The 19,914-nt window shown below is 47.7% G+C and overlaps 1 pseudogene across 1 annotated transcript, besides 1 other annotated feature; it reads right to left on the minus strand.

Annotated features, from left to right (window-relative positions):
• Positions 1-5,799: 5,799 nt before the first annotated feature.
• Positions 5,800-16,229, minus strand: SPDYE20P (speedy/RINGO cell cycle regulator family member E20, pseudogene; annotated as a pseudogene). The gene is made up of 7 exons (NR_173149.1): positions 16,108-16,229; positions 14,378-14,955; positions 13,184-13,403; positions 12,110-12,168; positions 10,806-10,889; positions 8,046-8,150; positions 5,800-7,188 (listed from the first exon to the last, which is right to left on the minus strand). The product of NR_173149.1 is annotated as a speedy/RINGO cell cycle regulator family member E20, pseudogene (transcript).
• Positions 18,528-18,577: an enhancer, noted in NCBI's record as "active region_25633". NCBI's record gives its function as "activates an Ori minimal core promoter by ATAC-STARR-seq in GM12878 lymphoblastoid cells {active_cell/tissue: GM12878}" and the evidence as "EXISTENCE:reporter gene assay evidence [ECO:0000049][PMID:35858748]".

Raw genomic sequence — 19,914 nt, forward strand, 5'->3', positions numbered from 1 at the left:
AACTCAGAGAATATGTACAGAATTGAAAGAAGAAAAAAATTAGCCAGAACTCTACTTCCTGAAGAGGATGAGGCAAGCAGAAGAAGAAATTTGCGTCTTAATGGAAAACGAAGCACATTTAGAAAGCCATGTTACTTGATTCCAACCCTGTTCCTTATCTTTGAGGTATTTTACACCTCTTTGAAAACTGTAGGTAATCGATGCAAGTTATGTTCTGTCTGGTGGAAGTTGGTTGACTTCCCACAATCCCCACTAGAGAAAATGCAGTTTTGACTGCATTTCTCCATTTACATAATCATTTCAATATTCCTGATCTGAAAATATGTCTGTTTCTCAGATTCTCTCTCTCTCTCTCTTTTTTTTTTTAATTTTGAGACAGGGTCTCACTCTGCTGTGCATGCTGGAGTTCAGTGGCGAGATCTTGGCTCACTGGTTCAAGGAATTCTCCTGCCTCAGCCTCCCAAGTAACTGGGATTACAGGTGCACACCACCAAGCCCGACTAATTTTTGAATTTTTAGTAGAGATGGGGGTTTCACCATGTTGGCCAGGCTGGTCTTAAACTCCTGACCTCAAGTGATCCACCCGCCTCAGCCTCCCAAAGTGCTGGGATTACAGGCATGAGCCACCATGTCCAGCCCTCAGATTCTCTTTTGAACCAGTTATAATATCTGCCTGTTTCCTCTTGAATTAAATAAAATCTTTAGCATGTGCTCATTTTTATATCTGTATCAGAGTCATGATTTTACTTTTATGTTTTAAGGTTTTCCAGGTCTTTGCAGAAGTCCCTGATGGAATCACATGACTGAGCCAGGAAAACCTCAGGACTGGAGTGCCTCATGAACTGTTGAAGCCCAGGTGAATCTTTTCTTGGCTCCCAGGAATGAGTCCAAAGTGCCAGTAGAAATTTGCTGGCTTCTCATTTTTCAGTAATTTCCCCATTTACCAATCCTGTGTTTTACTTTGGTTTGCATTTGTTTACATTGCTAGCATCACTGATTGGGACTTTGTTTGTTTTTGTTGTTTCAAGGCAAAGTCTCACTCTGCCGCCCAGGCTGGAGTGCAGGGGTACGATCTCGGCTCACTGCAACTTCTGCCTCCCAAGTTCAAGTGATTCTCCTGCCTCAACCTCCTGAGTAGCTGGGACTATAGGTGCATGCCACCATGCCCGACTAATTTTTGTATTTTTAGTAGAGACGGGGTTTTTCCATGTTGGCCAGACTGGTCTCGAACTCCTGACCTCAGGTGGTAGACTCGCCTCAGCTTCCCAAAGTGGTGGGATTACAGGCGTGAAGCACCGCGCTGGGCTAGGAATTTGGTTTTATGGTCTGATCACATGGTGATCTCTGTAATGAGATTAATGTTTGCAAAGACCTAATCTCTGTTGGGTGAGAGACATCAGAGTCTGATTTGTTATTCTATTTCTCTGTCTATTTTGAGCTGAAATCAATTAAGAATTTCATGCCCACTGGGAGGAGAAGAGCTCTTTCATATCTGGAAGGGTGAGTTTTTGCATTTTTGTGTTTACTCTTGACCCATGTCTGAAATTTTAGAATTGAAGCTGTAAGCTCTATTTCTTTGTATGTCTGTGTGTCTGTAATTTAGAAAGGTCTTTACCTCTGATTGTGTGAGTGTCTAATGTTTTTCCACCTCTGAATGGTATTATAGTAGATATAGAGTTTGTTTGTTTGTTTTTGAGACAGGGTCTCACTCTGTCGTCCAGGCTGAAGTGCAGTGTGTGCGATCACGGATCACTGCAGCTTCAACCTACCTGGGCTCAGGTGTTCCTCCCACCTCAGCCTCCCAATTAGCTGGGACTGCAGGTGTGTACCACCATACCCAACTAATTTTCGTATTCTCTATAGAGATGGGGTTTTGCCATGTTGCCCAGGATGGTCTCGAACTTCTGGGCTCAAGCGATCTGATCACCTCAGCCTCCCAAAGTGCTGGGATTACAGGCATGAGCCACAATATAGAGTCTTTAAAGGTTTGCTGTTCTGATTGGCTTGTAGAGGTGTGTATGTACTTATATAAATTGAATTTGCCCAAATTCTTAGAAAAAAAGAGAAATTGAACTTCTGTTGCTTTAATGTGCTAGAAAGGTATTTTTTACTGAAACCAAATCAAATGTTTTGGAAATGCGAGTCCGCATGTAGTCCACATATATGTTACCGAGCAGTCAATGCACTCGCTGCCCAGTGTGTACAGAGGCCAATACCATGGCTCCAGCTTTTGAGAAATAAAGCCTTTTTGTAAGTCAACTAGCAAGGACACAGGAGGAAATGCTCAAATCTCCCTTTCCCAGCTGGGGGCTATGTCAGGTTTTGTACGCATAGGGTAAGGAGATGTGATTTGATTGGATCTTGAGATGAAGTAATTAATGCTGGGAGGTGTGATCTGACTGGATCCTGCCATGGAGTGACACCAAAACTCAATCTCATTGGTTCCTGGCTCCTGCCACAGGGTGTCCGGTTCTTAAATGGGTCCCAGCTCCTCAGTCCGAGCACTTAGGTTCCACTTCGTGGTTGCATGCTTGGTTAATCTGGGCATGCTCAGAGTATATGACCTTCAACCCACGGATCCATGGCAGTTGAAAAACAACTGCCAACTACATTACATAAAAGTTGAAATGGACGTGGAGTGTGGTGGCTCACACCTGTAATCCCAGCACTTTGGGAAGCTGAGGCAGGCAGATCACGAGGTCAGGAGTTCCAGCCCAGCCTGGCCAATATGGTGAAACCCCGCCTCTACTAAAAATACAAAAATTATCCAGGGGTGGTGATGCGCTGAGGCAGGAGAATCTCTTGAACCCAGGAGGCGGAGGTTCCAGTGAACCGAGATCGCGCCATTAAACTGCAACCTGGGTGACAAGAGCAAAACTCCGTCAAAAAAAAAAAAAAACTTGAACTAGATTTAGTCTGATGCAGTTCCAGATTTACAAACCGTGTCCCCACCCTCCTGCCGACACCTTCCACTCCTCATTCTTGAGGGATTAGGGATGGAGGTCATGCTTCTGTATCTACTTCATGCTGACCAGAGGCACTGAGTCCCCTAAAGTTAGAGGAATGAAACTCTTGGGCTGCTGAGTTCAAATGAGTTTTGGGGTCACCCAGAATTGCTTGAAGGGCTGGTATTGTTGTGGTAATACAAGCTGAAGGTGGAAGTGTTGGAGCCGGGAGGACAAACAGCTCACCATCAATTTAAATAAACAGGACTGAAAAGTACCAGGAGAACAGTGGCCACGAGGGGCCCCAACAGAGGAAGAAACCAGGTGAGGTGCGGTATAGTGGACTCGACTGCTTTCTAAATCTCAGTGGTTGGCCAGGCACTGTGGCTCATGCCTGTAATCTTAGCAAAAGGGAGGCCGAGGCAGGCGGGTCACCTGAGCTCAGGAGTTGGAGACCAGCCTGGCCAACATGGTGAAGTCCCATCTCTACTAAAAATACAAAAATTAGCCAGGCATGGTGGCATGTGCTGTAGTCCCAGCTAATCGGGAGGCTGAGGCAGGAGAATTGCTTGAACCCGGGAGGCGGAGGTTGCAGTGAGCCTCCAGCCTGGGTGACAGAGCGAGACTCTGTCTCTAAATAAATAAACAAATAAATAAATCTCGGTGGTTCAACTACCCTTGATACAGTTTGGCTCTGTGTCACCACCCAAATCTCATGTCAAATTGTAATTCCCAGTGTTGAGGGAGGGAGCTGGTGGGAGGTGATTGGCTCATGGGGACCATCTTCCCCCGTGCTGTTCTCTTGGTAGTGAGTGAGCCCTCGTGGGATCTGGTTGTTGAAAAGCGTGCATCACCTCCCGCTTCATTCTCTCTGTCTCTCCCGCTCCACCATAGCCAGACGTGCCTGCTTCCACTTCGCCTTCTGCCATGACTGTCCGTTTCCTGAGGCCTCCCCAGCCATGCTTCCTGTACGGCCTGCAGAACTGTGAGTCAATTAAACCTCTTTTCTTCATAAATTAACCAGTTTCAGGTAGTTCTTTATAGCAGTATGAAAACAGACTAATGGACCCTTCTGGTTGAAGGAATGCAGCCATTCTGCTAGTTTGACTATTTCCTTTCTATTCATCTCTATTTCCCGGGAGGTGTTTATCCAAGTGCAGTAGGAGGTATTGGTGACTGCACAGTCCCCTCAGTGTTCTGCTAGTGAATAGTTGAAGGTTGATCAGTGATCTCCTGCATTTTCAGTCTGGCATGGAAAAGCCCCCATGTAACTGGTGAAGATATCAGTGAGCACCAGGAGGTATCTAAATCCTCCAGGAGCCATAGGCATCACGTTGATGTCCGTTTGCCAGTCTTCCCTGGCAAGGTTCTTCTGAATTGTACTGCCTTGGCCAAAAGAGGTATGGGAGGGGCTGGGCACAGTGGCTCATGCCTGTAATCCCAGCATTTTGGGAGACCAATTCGGGTGGATCATTAGAGGTCAGGGGTTCAAGACCATCCTGACCAACATGGTGACATCCCATCTCTACTAAAAATACAAAAAGTTAGCTGGGTTCGGTGCTGGGTGCCTGTAATCCCAGCTACTCAGGAGGTTGAGGCAGGATAATCGCTTGAACCTGGGAGGAGGAGGTGGCAGTGAGCTGAGATTGTGCCATTGCACTCCAGCTTGGGCAACAAAAGCGAAACTTCATCTCAAAAAACAAAAAAAGAAGTCCGGGCGCGGTGGCTCACGCCTGTAATCCCAGCACTTTGGTAGGCCAAGGCGGGTGGATCACGAGGTCAGGAGTTCAAGACCAGCCTGGCCTAGATGGTGAAACCCTGCCTCTACTAAAAATACAAATATTAGCTGGGCATGGTGGCATGCACCTGTAATCTCAGCTACTCAGAAGTCTGATGCAGGAGAATTGCTAAAACCCGGGAGGGAGAGGTTGCAGTGAGCCAAGATCGTACCACTGCACTCTAGCCTGGGTGACAGAGCAAGACTCCATCTCGAAAGGAAGAAAGAAAAAGGAAATTCCCCAGGGAAGTACCCTGGTTTATTTCATAAAGAGGTACTGAAGGAAGCAGAGGCATGTGGAGGACTGTTTCATCATTTGGCCAGGCTGGTCTTGAACTCCTGCTGGGATCAATGGAGTGAGCCACTGCGCCCTGCCACCTTTAGAGTTTTCTTACCACCTGGTTTTCCTCTCTCAATATCTTTCCCTCATTTCCTGCTTTAAAACTCTAGCTTGGGGTGTGGGCGCAGTAGCTCATGCCTATAATCCCAGCACTTTGGAAGGCCAAGACAGGCGAATCACTTGAGGTCAGGAGTTGGAGACCAGCCTGGCCAACATGGTGAAACCCTGTCTCTACTATTTTTATAAAAGTTAGTCAGACGTACAGTTGGGTGCCTGTCGTCCTAGCTACTTGGGAGGCTGAGGCAGGAGAATTCGCTTGAATCCAGAGGTGAAAGTTGCAGTAAGCCGAGGTCGTGCCAGTACACTCCAGCCTGGGAGACAGAGCGAGACTCTCTCTCCAAAACAAACAAACAAACAAACAAACAAACAAACAAAACCTCTAGCTTGGGATCGGCCTTCTCTTCTATTATTTTTCTTTTTAAAAATTTTTTTTAAAATAGATGTTGATGCTATGTTGCCCAGGCTGGCCTCAAACTCCTGGCCTCAAGTGATCCTCCCGCCATGACCTCCAAAAGTGCTGGGAATGTAGGTGTGAGCACTGCACCCAGCCTTATGTTTTTCTCTACATAAAAAATAATGCAGGATTATCTTCTAGAGCTAATTAATATGTTCAAATAACCAAAACCCCATTAAGGAAAAATGTCATGACAGCAAATAGTCAATCCAGACCAATATGATCACACTCGCTGTGAAGGTGAGAAAACTTCATCTTTATTACGTTTCCCCAAGAGACGCACTGCCTTGTTCTCTTGAAAACCCACAGCTCATGTCCTCCTTTAGAACACACATCCTCTTTAAAGTAACATACAAACATGCCAATACAAGGTAAAAAATTACATCTGAATTCTCACATTTCAAAAACATACAGTAAACATCAAATAAAAATTGATTTTTATAAGAATTTAGGGGGACTATCATGTAGCTATAAGTGTAATACATATGTTAAGTATCATAGATAAAAAGAGTGCTCCCTTCAGCAGCACATGTAATAATAGATACAAAGATTTACAGATAAAAGATTTAGGATAAAAAGAATCCTCTCTTAAAAAGGAAAACAAAATTATATTTATGTGTATATAGCAGCTGTAACACCCATCTCACAACTTTATAGGAATGGTGTCTATTCAAAAATACCAGTATTTTCAAAATATTTTAAATAAATGTAGTAATAATTCTATGCCCATCTTTTTCAAAATATACCAATAAAATATATAGTGTTTATTAGACATGTTAGTATATATCTAAGACATGTTAAAAATCACAACTGAATTCTCACAATTCAGTCACAAATCTAAACAGCAAATAAAAATTTCTATGATGAGAACTTAGTAGAACTACCAATAGCTATAAAGGGAAAAGATTATTATGTAAGTATCATAGATAAAAAGTGTACTCGCTTCAGAGGCACATATAATAATACAGAAAACAATTTAAACATAATAAAAGATTTAGGATAAAAAGGATTCTCTTAAAATGAAAAGAAAATTATCTTTATGTATATATAACAGCTATAACTCTCATCAAAAAATCTACAGGAACAGCATGTTTTCAAAAGTACAACAATTTCCAAACTATTTGAAATAAACCTATTAATAATTTGATGGCCAACATTTTCCAAACAAACCAATAAATGCATAGTGTGCATGAAGCTGTCTGTTACAGTCTATGGCACTCATATTTTACAAAGAATTCCATGCCAATCTGAGTGTCTGCACTGTGCCTTCAAATGCTCCTGGACTGTAGCAACCAAGTCCGTAAGAAACAGGACCTCCAGGTTCCGCCCCAGGAGGTTGGAATTCAGCAATATAAAAAGGGAGATGGTGCCTCAGGAAAGGGTGGAACCGGAAACACCCCTGGTTTCTCACTGTTCTCTATGGATTCCTAGAAGTACCACCCCACCCCATCCTAGGAGGACAACATGATCACTCTATTCAGCTCCGTCTAGAACAGTCCAGGTTCTTCTAGATGATCTGCACAAATGGCTCCTCTCCTCCTTCCTGGTGCCTGCCATTAGCATTGGAATAAAGTTCTTGCTGAAAATCTGCATCTCCCCTGGGCCCAGCATTCTGGAAGTGCGAAAGAGGATGTCACACTTCAATGAGGCAGCTCTCTAGACAGGAAGGTTATTCACGTCCCATGTCAAGTCTAACTAGAGTTCAGAGCAATTGAGAAATCCAGTTTTATCTCCTGTCCTTCATTCCATAGCCTGCTTCTGAACCATGGTGTTCAACTGTGAAACTCACACTTTGGTGACCCTGACTCCAAAACTCACTTAATACACCCAAGGGCAGCCCCAGTGATCTACTTCATAGCAAGGACTTCGGGTGGGTCTGCCCAGGGAGTAGGGCACCCTCAGAGAATGTGGCTTTGGACTTCATCACAGCTGGGGCCTTTTGTGTCACTTAAGAGCTAAACTTGTAACCATGCTAGATCTGTTTCTAATGTGACAACATCACGAACCCTGAGTCCAGAAGCCTAATCCATAATCCTACCTCCTCATGATGAAGTCTCATGCTCTGTGCTCAACGTGGTTAGCTGCACAAGATGTAAACCAAAGCTTCACTGAACCCTCAACCCAAATCGGTAACTCAAGTGTGTCAATCATAATGAACCTCCCCAAACTCAGTATTTATGATTATTTTTGAGGTAGGGTCTCACTCTGTCGCCTGGTCTGGAGGGCAGTGGCAGGATCAGGGCTCCCTGCAGCCCCGACCTCCCAGGCTCCAGCGATCCTCCCGCCTCAGCCTCCTGAGTAGTTGGGAGTAGAGATGCCTCCCACATCGCCTGGCTACTTTTTGTATTTTTGTGGAGAGGGGATCTCGCCACGTTGCTCAGGCTTGAAGCTGGATCAAGCAATTGGGTTCCTCAGATTTCCAAAATAGACCCCAATATTCTGCCTTTACCCCAGAGGACACAGATGTACCTTCTCTCAGGCCGATGACCTCAGGCCTCCACGGTCCCTGGAGCTCTAGGAAAGGTGGGCGCGATCTCACGCCCACACCCAGTGCCCTGGGTCATAAGCCTGGATCTGGAAAAACAGACGCCCCTTAAGAAGATGGGGACTCCCCAGGATACTCCTCCCTCCCCTTATCCAGCCTCCAGCCCACCCAATTCCTCCCCACCTCCTCCACCTCCCCAGGCCCCACCCACCTCCTCGAACTCCTCCAGGGAAATGCAAGCCCTGCAGCACACAGAACGGAAGACCCGGAAATGAAGCGTATGGAACAAGGCAATCTGAGAGCAGTTCTTCCCGTACAGGAAGAAGAAGATGTTTTGTTTGGGGGTCTCGCTGTCCTCCTCCATGTCATTGGCCAAGTAGCTGGGGACAGCTATCAGGTTACTGCTCAGGGGCACCACCAGGAGAGACTTCTGGCTGACGTCAGCTTCCTAGAGAGGAGGGCAGGGGACCGTCCTCACCTCAGGACGGGCACACACCCTGCACAGAGCCACGCCTTCCTCAGGAGGGCTCTGCTGGACAGAGACCTGCTGAAGGGCGTCTCCCACTCCTTCAGGATGGAGACAAAAACCCAACTGGTGACCAAGAATGGTGGCTTATGCGAGGAATCCCAGCACATTGGGAGGCCGAAGCAGGAGGATCACTTGAGGCCAGGAGTTTGAGATGGGCCTGGGCAACATAGCAAAACCCTCATCTCTATTAAAAATATAAGAAATATGCTGGACGCGGTGGCTTATGCCTGTAATCCCAGCATTTTAGAAGGCTGAAGCAGGTGGATTGCTTGAGATCAGGAGTTTGAGACCAGCCTGGTCAACCTGGAGAAACCCCATCTCTACTAAAAATACAAAAATCAGCCTGGTGCGGTGGCACACCTGTTAGTCCTAGCTACTCAAGAGGCTGAAGCATAAGAATTGTGTGAACCCAGCCAGCTGCGGTGGCTCATGCATGTAATCCCAGCACTTTGGGAGACCGAGGTGGGTGGATCACAAGGTCAGGAGATCGAGACCATCCTGGCTAACATGGTGAAACCTCCTCTCTACTAAAAATACAAAAAATTAGCTGGGCGTGGTGGCGGGCACCTGTAGTCCCAGCTAGTTGGGAGGCTGAGGCAGGAGAATGGCGTGAAAGCAGGGTGTGGAGCTTGCAGTGAGCGGAGATCGCGCCACTGCACTCTAGCCTGGGTGACAGAGCGAGACTCCATCTCAAAAAAAAAAAAAAAAAAAGAATTGTGTGAACCCAGGAGGCAGAGGTTGCAGTGAGCCGAGATTGGGCCCCTCCACTCCAGCCTGAGAGGCACAGCAAGACTCTGTCCCAATCAATCAACTAATCAATAACTGTCCAGGTGTGGTGGCACAGCCCTGTAGTCGGAGCTAATCAAGGGGTTGAGGTGGGAGGATCGCTTGAGCCCAGGATATGGAGGCTGCAGTGAGCTATGATCTCACCACTGCACTCCAGCTTGGGGGACAGGGGAAGTCTGTCTCAAAAAAATAAAAGAAATTGAATACATTGATAGTTTGCCAGGACCCTGCCTTCTACAGGCATCTAGTCTAATGGGACTGGTAGTAATCAAGGCAGATGACCTAATCCCAGTGTCACATTATAATAGGATATAACTGGAGATCTACGGGCGTGCAGAAGTTGGAAGATGAGGGAAGGCATGACAGAGGCTGTGGGGTGAACTGACTTCAAGGAATGGGTCCTTCCCTTCAGAACCACATGTGTGTGGGACATCCAGACAGAAAACACAAACGCAAAGTCAAGTGGAGGACATTTGGAAGGAGCAGTGAAGCCAAGCCAGGAAACACCAAGAAGGCGAGCCAGTGTGGTTGTAGAGATTGTAGAGAGGGTGGAATTGGCACTGTTACCCTGGCCTCGATTTAGAAAGATGTCAGCTAAGGAGGTTGTTCAGGTGGGCAGTGAGGGCATCGTGCCGTGGAAAGATGTTCAGGCTGCACTAGGGAGCCCCCTGGCTTGGGGAGAGACTCCAGGAGACCCCAGCAGGGAGCATTTGACAGTGGATTCGAGTGATGCGAGGGGGACCTGAACTGTGGCCTCTGTCGTGGGAACCCGGAGGAGGTCGATGGCATTTGTGGTTGATGTGGGAAGGAGAGAGAGAGAAGAACCAGAAACGTCTGCTTGCTGGGGGAAGTGTCGTGTCCGCTCCTCCGCTCCTTTTCTTCTCCCCTTAGGAGCAGTTTATGTTTCCTTTTGTTTTATTCTTTTATTTGTACACTGGCATTGGAGTTTGTTTTTTTTTGCTTTTTTTTTTTGGAGAAAAAGTCTCACTCTGTCACCCAGGCTGGAGTGCAGTGGCTCAACCTTAGCTTACTGCAACCTCCACCTCCTGGGTTCAAGGGGTTCTCTTGCTTCAGCCTCCCAAGTAGCTGGGATTACAGGTGCACACCACCATGCCCGGCTAATTTTTCTATTTTTAATAGAGATGGGTTTGGCCATGTTGGCCAGGCTGGTCTCGAACTCCTGACCTCAGATGATCCGCCTGCCTGGCCCTCCCAAAGTGCTGGGATTACAGGCGTAAGCCACCGCTCCCAGCCTGAGTTTCTTTTTAGAAACAACAGTCTAAGAACAAGATAGTAAAATCCTGTCTTTTTTGTACACAGAGTAAAGTGGACAAATAGGTGAAAGAATAAATGAAAGGCTGGAATCCCACCTTCCTCTGCTGTCCCAGAGCATTGGATATTGACCGATAGGAGGCAGCAAACCACTCACAGAGCCAGGAAGAAATAGATGCGTTGGTATTGCCAGGAGAAGGGTCTGGCCCGGCTAAAATACGCTGACCATAGCCAGGAGATACTGATGGAGAGAAAGGAACACAGAGAGGTCACATCTTGGAAGAGGAAGATTGTGGAGAGGGGGAATGAGGGTCTGGGGAGGGGCTGCCCATCAGAGAAGGGACTTCAGTGTTGGGGTGACTGTACTCATTTGGAAATAGCAGGGTGGAGGGGTATTCGATGGTCGGATGCAAATCCGAGGGAGGAAGGGATGTCGGTGATGCTCCCAGGATGGTGGGCTCCGATGGGATCTTTGGTGGGGGCGTGTCTAGGTCAGCTGGTGTCAGGAGGGTCTTTTGTGTGCCAGGCAGAGAATTGTCTCAAAGAGCTGAGAGTAGAGGGGCCAGGAGCTTCAGGGCTGCGGTCAGACTGTGGACCAGGGCTCAGATCCTAAAGGACCCATAGGAGAGGCAGGGGCTATTCATTCACTCGGCAAGAGACCAGCAGAGTCCTGAGGGAGATGCTGACAAATCATAAAAAGACCAAGAATAGCCGGGAGTGGCGGCTCAGGCCTGTGATCCCAGTACTTTGAGAGGTGGAGACAGGAGGATCACATGAGCCCAACAGTTTGAGAACAACCTGGGCAATGTAGCGAGACCCTGTTTCTACAAAGATTTCAAAAATTAGTTGAGCATGGTGGCATGTGCCTAGTCCCAGCTCCTCAGGAGGCTGAGGAAAGAGAATTGCTTGAGCCCAGGAATTAGAGGCTGCAGTGAGCTATGATCATGCCACTGCACTCCATCTTGGGGAGCAGAGCTAGACTCTGTCTCAGAAAAAAGTGTGGGTGCCAAGACTCAAGATTGTGGGAGCTGGTGGGGCACAGTGGCTGACGTCTGTAATCTCAGCACTTTGGGAGGCCAAGGCGGGTGGATCACCTGAGGTCAGGTGTTCAGGACCAACTTGCCCAACATGGCAAAACCCCGTCTCTACTAAAAACACAAAAATTAGCCAGGCGTGGTGGTTCACATCTGTAATCTCAGCTGCTTGGAGGCTGAGACAGGAGAATCGCTTGAACCTGGGAGGCTTCGGCTGCAGTGAGTCAAGATTGAGACACTGCCCTCCAGCCTGGGCAACAGAGGAAGACTCTGTCTCACAAAAAAAAAAAAAAAAAAAAAAAAAAAAAAAAGACCGTAGGAGCACCTGGTGGGAGGTGGTGGAGGGAGAACTGTGGGTTTGGAAGCTGCGCCCTCCCTCCGGTGGTGCGTTGAAGCAGGAACACAGTTACATGGAGAACAACCTTACGTTGTCTGACACCCTCAGATCTTTGTCCCAGGCCAGGAATCTTTTAATCACAGGATCCTCTGTTATTAGAGGGCAGATGTCAGCATGAGAAGCTTTCTGTGGGAGCAGCAGGGCAGCGAGAAGTGTGCCTCCCGGGGGGGAGGTCTCAGGATTGCTGCCATGGGCGAGGTGGATGGGAGGGGGGAGAATGACTTTCACTGGGCAAAGGAGAGAGGCTCCTGCTCTGAGACTCCCCTGAGAAGAGGCCGAAGGAGGCCCTGGGTGTGAGAATCTACGGGATGTAGAGCTGGGAATAAGCCAGGATGCCCTCCCAGCAGACACGGAGGGACCACTGCAGAGTCATAAAGGAATTCCCATCATTTCCTCATGAGACAGTCACATCAGGGTGTGACCATGGCCTTGGTATCCCCCACTATGGATGGAGACACTTAGGTTTAGAAAAGTCAGTAAGAGACATTAAGTTTCAGAGAGCACAGCTGAAACCACTTTCTTTGTTTATTGATTTTGTTTTTCTTTATTTGATTTTTATTTTTATTTATTAATTTATTTTGAGACAGAGTCGTGCTTTGTGGTCCAGGCTGGAATGCACTGGCGTGATCTTGGCTCACTGCAACCTCTGCATCCCGGGTTTAAGCGATTCTCCTCTCAGTCCCCTGAGTAGCTGGGATTACAGGCATGAGCTACTGTGCCCAGCCTTGGTTTTTCTTTTGAGACAGGGTTTTGCTCTGTCACCCAGGCTGGAGTGCAGTGGTGCAGTCATAGTTTACTGCAGCCTCAAAGTCCTGAATTCAAGCAATCCCCTTGCCTCAGCCTCCCAATATGCTGGTATCTCAGGCGTAAGCTCACCTGGCCCAAAACAAAGCTTTCTTATCCCAAGCACTGACCTTTGTCAAGTCTAGCCTAATCCTCTATTGTCTCCTAAGCGTCCCTCATGAGTGATCACTTCTGAGTCCTCCCACATGGAGAGCTCACCCAATGGGGGCATATTTTTCCCATTGGAAAATAGTGGTTATTGGAAGTTTCCTCTTTTTTAGAAGAACAGGATTGGAGGTGCTCTCTGGAGTGTCCTCCTACCAATCTGATTATTGAAGGCCTCGTGGTGCTCAGGGAGCACGAGGTGACACTCGCTGTTGCTTCAGCTTCATCTTGAGCCCACACAGCATCTCCACCACCCAGGTCTCCTCAGGCTCGGGGGTGAGCTTCTTCTCTGGCTCCTCCTCACATTTGTCCAACCACTCCCTCTTCCTTTTCCAGCAAAAATACCTACATGGGGGGCTGGGATCTACCCCAGGGGCTGAGTAAAGAAGCCAGGCCATGGTGTAATGCTTCTGCAACTGACCACCTTAGACCCCGACCCCAAACCCCAAACCACTCTCCATCCTCCCCAGCTTCGCAGACTGCTGGCTTCTCCAAGCCATCTTTCTGGATTTCTCCTCTGCTGAGCCCCATGTGCCGCTCCTTCCCCTCCCCGTTCTTCCATCTCTCTGTCCTCACAACACTTCCTCATGTCCTTCCCTGGTCCCTGGCTCTCTGAGTCCCTCCCTTTTTTTTTTTTTTTGTTTTGAGACAGAATCATGCCTTGTCTCCTGGGCTGGATTGTAGTGGTGCAATCTCAGCTCACTGCAACATCCATCTCCCAGATTCCACTTATTCTCCTGCCTCAGCCTCTCAGGTAGCTGGGATTACAGGTGCCTGCGATAATGCCCAACTCAATTTTGTACTTTTAGTAGAGATGGGGTTTCACCATGTTGGCCAGGCTGGTCTCAAACTCCTGGCCTCAAGTGATCTGCCTGCCTTGGCCTCCCAAAGTGCTGGGATTACAGGTGTGACCACTGCACCTGGCCTGAATCTGAATTTCTCCATTCTTCCCACACACCCGCCTCAGGTTCTTCTTCCTGACCTCTGACCTTTTTTTTTTTTTTTTTTTTTTGAGACAGCGTCTCACTCTCTCACCCAGACTGGAGTGCAGTAGCGCAATCTTGGCTCACTGCAACCTCTTCCTCCCAGCCTCAAGCGATTCTCCTGTCTCAGCCTCCCGAGTAGCTGGGATTACATGTGCGCACCACTAACGCCCAGATAGTTTTTGTACTTTTAGTAGAGATGGGGTTGGCCATGTTGGCCAGGCTGGTCTTGAACTCCTGACCTCAGGTGACCCGCCCACCTCGGCCTCCCAAAGTGTTGGGGTTACAGGCATGAGCCACTGCGCCCGGCCCCCTTCCTTCATCTTAGTCAATCCTATCCTACCTCTTCTTCCTCCAGTCCCCTCACCTGATGGTCCCGACACTTCATCATCCACCACCTCCTGGAGGGGTACCCTGAGGCGCTGGGCTGGGGGCTCTGCTCCTCATCCTGGGGGTGCGGTTGATGGCTGGTTATGATCTTTCCCAAAATCTGTCCCATCCCACGGAACCTAGTCTCTGTTCTGTCCAAGGCCTTCTTCTGGACTCTGCTAAGACCCAGAAGAGTGTGTTGTCAATTTTCGAGGCTGGGAGAAGTCAGGAGTGGAGACCAGCTCTGAGAAGGTTGTCCAGCTGAGCTCCCAGGAGCCCACAGAGTCCAGTCCTTCCAATCAGGAAGGTTGGAATCTCTGATGTCATTGGTCATTCCAACCTGGCAACCAGTTTGAAGAAAAACACATGTAACTGCCAGGCTGATCTTTGTCCTGGAGATCGTGGGTGAATGGTATCTCCTGCCACTGTCCCAACCTCAGGCACTGTCCAAAAGCATCTTTAGGGTCTCCACATCCCTCTGTTCCCTGTCCCAGCAGAGGCTGTGTCCTCTCCACTCAAAGCCTGAAGCATGGTGGGGTCTCCTCTTCTCTGTACATGCCCATTTCAGAGTCCAGTCTGGTGGGAGAGGGAACAGGGTGGGAAAGAAAACTAGGCTAAGCAGAAACTATGAAACCTTACAAGAGTGAGATGATCATGTACAAGAGATCCCAGGAACATTGACTTGATGAAAATGTCACATCAGAGCACTCAGTTTGGCAGAGCTTTTCTGCCGAATGTTTACTGACATTCACTGTCCGAGATTCTATACTGGGGGTACAAGCGTCCTCTGCCCTAAGGCATCTTTGAGTCCAGAGACATCTTGAGGCCTGAAAGTCATAGGAAACTGTCCAGGAGCTCACACATATTTCCAATGGTGTCCCCAATTTCAGGGAGTCCATGGATTACCTAAAGCCAGCCCCTCCAGTTTGGCTAACAAACTCTAGTCTATATATCAAGTTTTGTATCATATGTATTGCTCTGAACTCAGAAATTTCCCTACCATTTATGGATTCTAGGAATAAAATATCGCATGTACAAAAAGGCTAAGTCAAAAAATCTCAGCTGTGCACAGTGGCTCATGCTTGTAATCCCAGAACTTTGGGTGGCCAAGGGAGGAAGACTGCCTGAGGCCAGCAGTTCAAGATCAGTGTAGGCAACATAGCAAGAGCCCATCTCTAAAAAAACAAAACCAAACCAAATTAGCCAGGTGTGGTGGCTGGCACCTGTGTTCCACCTACTTGGGAGACTCATGTGACAGGAAGATCGCTTGAGCCCAGGAGTTAGAAGCTGCAGTGAGCTATGATCTGGCCACTGCACTCCAGTCTGGGCAACACAGCAAGACGTTGTGTCAAAAAAATTTTTTTTGATACAAAATAAAAGAGTTGCATGACATTCAGAGACCATCCGAAAAACCTGTGGGTTCCTGGCCGGGCTCAGTGGCTCATGCCTGTAATCCCAGCACTTTGGGAGGCCAAAGGGGGTGGATCACTTGAGGTCAGGAGTTTGAGACCAGCCTGGCCAACATGGTGAAACCCCATCTCTACAAAAAATACAAGAAATTAGCCAGGCATGGTGGTAGGTGCCTGTAATCCCAGCTACTCAGGAGGGAGGGCTGGAGAATCACTTGAACTCAGGGTGCAGAGGTTGCAGCAAGCCAAGATCACACCATTGCACTCCAGCCTGGGCAACAAGAGCAAAACTCTGTCTCAAAAAAAATAAACAAAGAACGTGTGAGTGAGTTCCCACACGGCTTCCTAATGGGCTGTGGCTCTCCTAGGAGTCTCTTGCTCATGGGAAAGACACAGACTGAGTGAAGAAGCAGATCCCATTGCTGTGGAAGTCCCATTGTTAGGAAACTCTGCTTTTCTGGAGTTCAAATTTGCATTCATGATGCTTTAAACCGTCAGAGCTGGGTAGGTCCTCCTACAACAAACAGTTTGCTCTCTCTCTCCTAGTTAACAGGCTTTCAAATATTAGAAGATCAATGTCCTGACCCCGTTAAAATTGCTCTTTTGTGGAATGAAAAGCTCTGATTTAACCCGTCTTCAAGCCTGGTTTGCATATTCCCCTCTCTTCTGGCCACCTTGTCTAGACACACTACACTGAGGCAGTGCCCATCTTAAATGATGTTGATACGTTGTCAAAAAATGGGCGAAGCAGGTGCGGTGGCTCATGCCTATAATCCTACCACTTTAAGAAGCCAAAGCAGACAGATCACCAGAGGTCAGAAGTTCAAGACCAGCCTGGCCAACGTGTTGAAATCCGTCTCTACTAAAAATACAGAAAAAATGAGCTGGGCGTGGGAGTGCACATCTGTAATCCCAGCTACTTGGGAGGCTGAGGCAGGAGAATTGCTTAAACCTGGAAGGCAGAGGTTGCAGTGAGCTGAGATTGCGCCACTGCACTCCAGCCTGGGTGACAGAGCGAGACACCATCTCAAAAAAAAAAAAAAAAAAAAAAAGGCTAAACAGCCCAGGTTTGGTCTGATATGTTCAGAAAAAAGCAAAACAGCCACCTCTCGCCTTCTCTTTTCCCGCAGTGATGCAGTTGAATACAGCAATGGCTGCAGGTATGCTGCAGAAATACCATTCAAGTGACACAGAAGGGCTTTCCTGGCCGGACACAGTGGTCACTCCTGTAATCCCAACACTTTCGTTGGCCAAGGTGGGAGGATTTCTTGTAGCCAGGAGTTGGAGGCTGCAGTGAGCTGTGATCCCACCACTGCATTCCAGGCTGGGCCTCAGAGTGAGGCCTGTCTCTAAAAAAACTCTTCACTCCCCACAAGAAGGGATTTGCAAATACCAGCCTTTCAGCATGAGGATCACATGGAGGAACATTAAGATACAGATGCTGGGACCCAGCCCTATTGATTGTAATTCAAAAGCTGAGGTGGGGCGTGATTTAACTCTGTCACTGGAATCCATTCAGATTTGGAACTCTCTGGGTTGGACAGTGCAAGAGAGATCCTAAAGAAAGCAAAGTCACTATGGACTGAAATGAGCAGACAAGGTTTTCTGAGCATGGTGAAATATGCTTTGGGCCTCACTTGGGAGGGCTGTGGCCAGGCCTTGAGTCCTTGGCTCAGTGGGACCTTCTGAAACAGCCTCCAAGCTCCGCTCCCTGCTTCCTTTGCTGTTGGATGACCCCCTCCAGCGGCTTTGGTGCTGATGGGAATAAGTCGACCTGCAGAGGAAGTTCAGCCCAAGTCTCAGCCCAGCAGCGTCCCGACACCTGACCGGGGTCTGGTCATGCTGCTGTCTCTGTGGTTCTCTGCGGAGTCATGGTTTCTGTACCTTGAAGAGAACTTCCCCTTCTGGAAACCAGAAACCCAGTAAACCCTGAGGAAATAAGCGAATGAAATTACTGCAGACAGCTCTGTGGTGGGGAGATGGAAAAGGGGCTGTTTGTTTTTGTTTTTTATTTTTTTTTGTTTTTTGAGACAGAGTTTCGCTCTTGTCGCCCAGACTGGATTGTAGTGGCTCAATCTTGGCTCACTGCAACCTCTGCCTCCCATGTTCGAGCAGTTCTCGTGCCTCAGCCTCCAGAGTAGCTGGGACAATAGGCGCACACTACCATGCCCAGCTAATTTTTGTATTTGTAGTAGAGATGGGGTTTTCCCATGTTGCCCAGGCTGGTCTTGAACTCCTGGCCTGAAGCAATCCGCCTGCCTTGGCCTCCCAAAGTGCTGGGACTACAGATGATGTGAGCCACCGTGGCCAGCCCTCACTGTACGGATTTTCTAAAAAAAAAAAAAAAAAAAATTAAATTTGTCTTATTTGCCAAAAGGTAAATTAACCTTTTCTCCTCTCCTTTTTAAAGAGTATTTCCTGATAAACATTGTAATATAAATAACTTTTGTGCCTTTGACATGTATCTAAATCTTTTAAAAAGGTAAATGAACTTCTTGCCAACACTACAACCCGGGAATTTTTTTTTTTTTTTTTTTTTTTTTGAGACAGAATCTCGCTCTGTCACCCAGGCTGGAGTGCAGTGGTATGATCTCGGCTCACTGCAACCTCCACTTCCTGGGTTCAAGCTATTCTCAGGTCTCAACCTCCTGAGTAGCTGAGACTACAGGAACTTGCCACCACGCCTGGCTAATTTTTGTATTTTTAGTAGAGATGGGATTTCACCTTGTTGGTCTGGCTGGTCTTGAACTCCTGACCTCAGGTGATCCACCCGCCTCGGGCTCCCAAAGTGCTGGGATTACCGGTGTGAGTCACCCTGCCGGGCCACAACCCAGGAATTTTTTTCTTAAGAGCCTGACAGTCTTGTCTTTGAAATGTAAACCTCGAGGAAAATAGTGTCCCTATCTTCCTGTTGCCTAGGGAGTTTAGCCTAGGCACCTTGAGCTGTTACTACCTGCTTGTCAAGGAGATATGAGAAGTTTAATTTTTTTTTATCTGATACAGGTAATTAACTAGCATGGGTGGCCACCTTGATTTCCAGGTGAATTTAGGATGAGTGTTTAAGAATGCATAGCAGGCCAGGCGCAGTGGCTCACACCTGTAATCCCAGCACTCTGGGGGAGGCCGAGATGGGCGGATCACTTGAAGCCACACAGAAATTGAAAGGAGTTTGAGTCTAGCCTGGCCAATATGGCGAAACTCTGTCTCTGCTAAAATACAAATATTAGCTGGGCATGATGGCACATGTCTGTAATTCCAGCTACTCCAGAGGCTTAGGCACGAGAATCACTTGAACCCAGGAGGTGGAGGTTACAGTGAGCCAAGATCACACCACTACACTCCAGCCTGGATGACAGAATGAGACCTTGTCTCAAAACAAAAAAAAAAAAAAAAAAAAGCATAGCAAGTCCTTTTACATGAGGATGAGTTACTGTTTATCTTGAGAGCATGTATGCAATGGATTGTATCTGCCAGGCTATACAAAAAGGAGGCTTTGACCAGGCGCCATGGCTCATGCCTATAATCCCAGCACTTTGGGAGGCCGAGGCGGGCAAATTATGAGGTCAGGATTTCGAGACCATCCTAGCTAACATGACGAAACCCCGTCTCTACTAAAAATACAAAAAATTAGCCAGGCGTGGTGGCATGCACCTGTAGTCCCAGTTACTTGGGAGGCTGAGGCAGGAGAATTGCTTAAACTGGGGAGACAGAGGTTCCAGTGAGCCGACATCGCACCACTGCACTCCAGCCTGGGCAACAGAGCAAGACTCTGTCTCAAAAAAAAAAAAAAAAAAAGAGGCTTTATTTCTCTTTGCATCTCATTAATGGATCACCTGTGATGGGCATCACAGTCTGGTTTAATGCTTATTCAATGATAAAATTGTTTTCTTTATTTTCTGAATTTGTGGAGAGAATATTCTAGGTTAACAGAATAATTTATTTATTTATTTTGAGATGGAGTCTTGCTCTGTTGCCAGGCTGGAGTGCAGTGGCGTGATCTCAGCTCACTGCAATCTCCACCTCCCGGGTTCAAGTGATTCCCCTGCCTCAGCCTCCCAAGTAGCTGGAACTACAGGCGCGCACCACCACACCCAGCTAATTTTTTGTGTTTTAGTAGAGACGGGGT

Source organism: Homo sapiens, chromosome 7 (genome assembly GCF_000001405.40).
Source record: "Homo sapiens chromosome 7, GRCh38.p14 Primary Assembly".
NCBI lineage: Eukaryota > Metazoa > Chordata > Mammalia > Primates > Hominidae > Homo > Homo sapiens.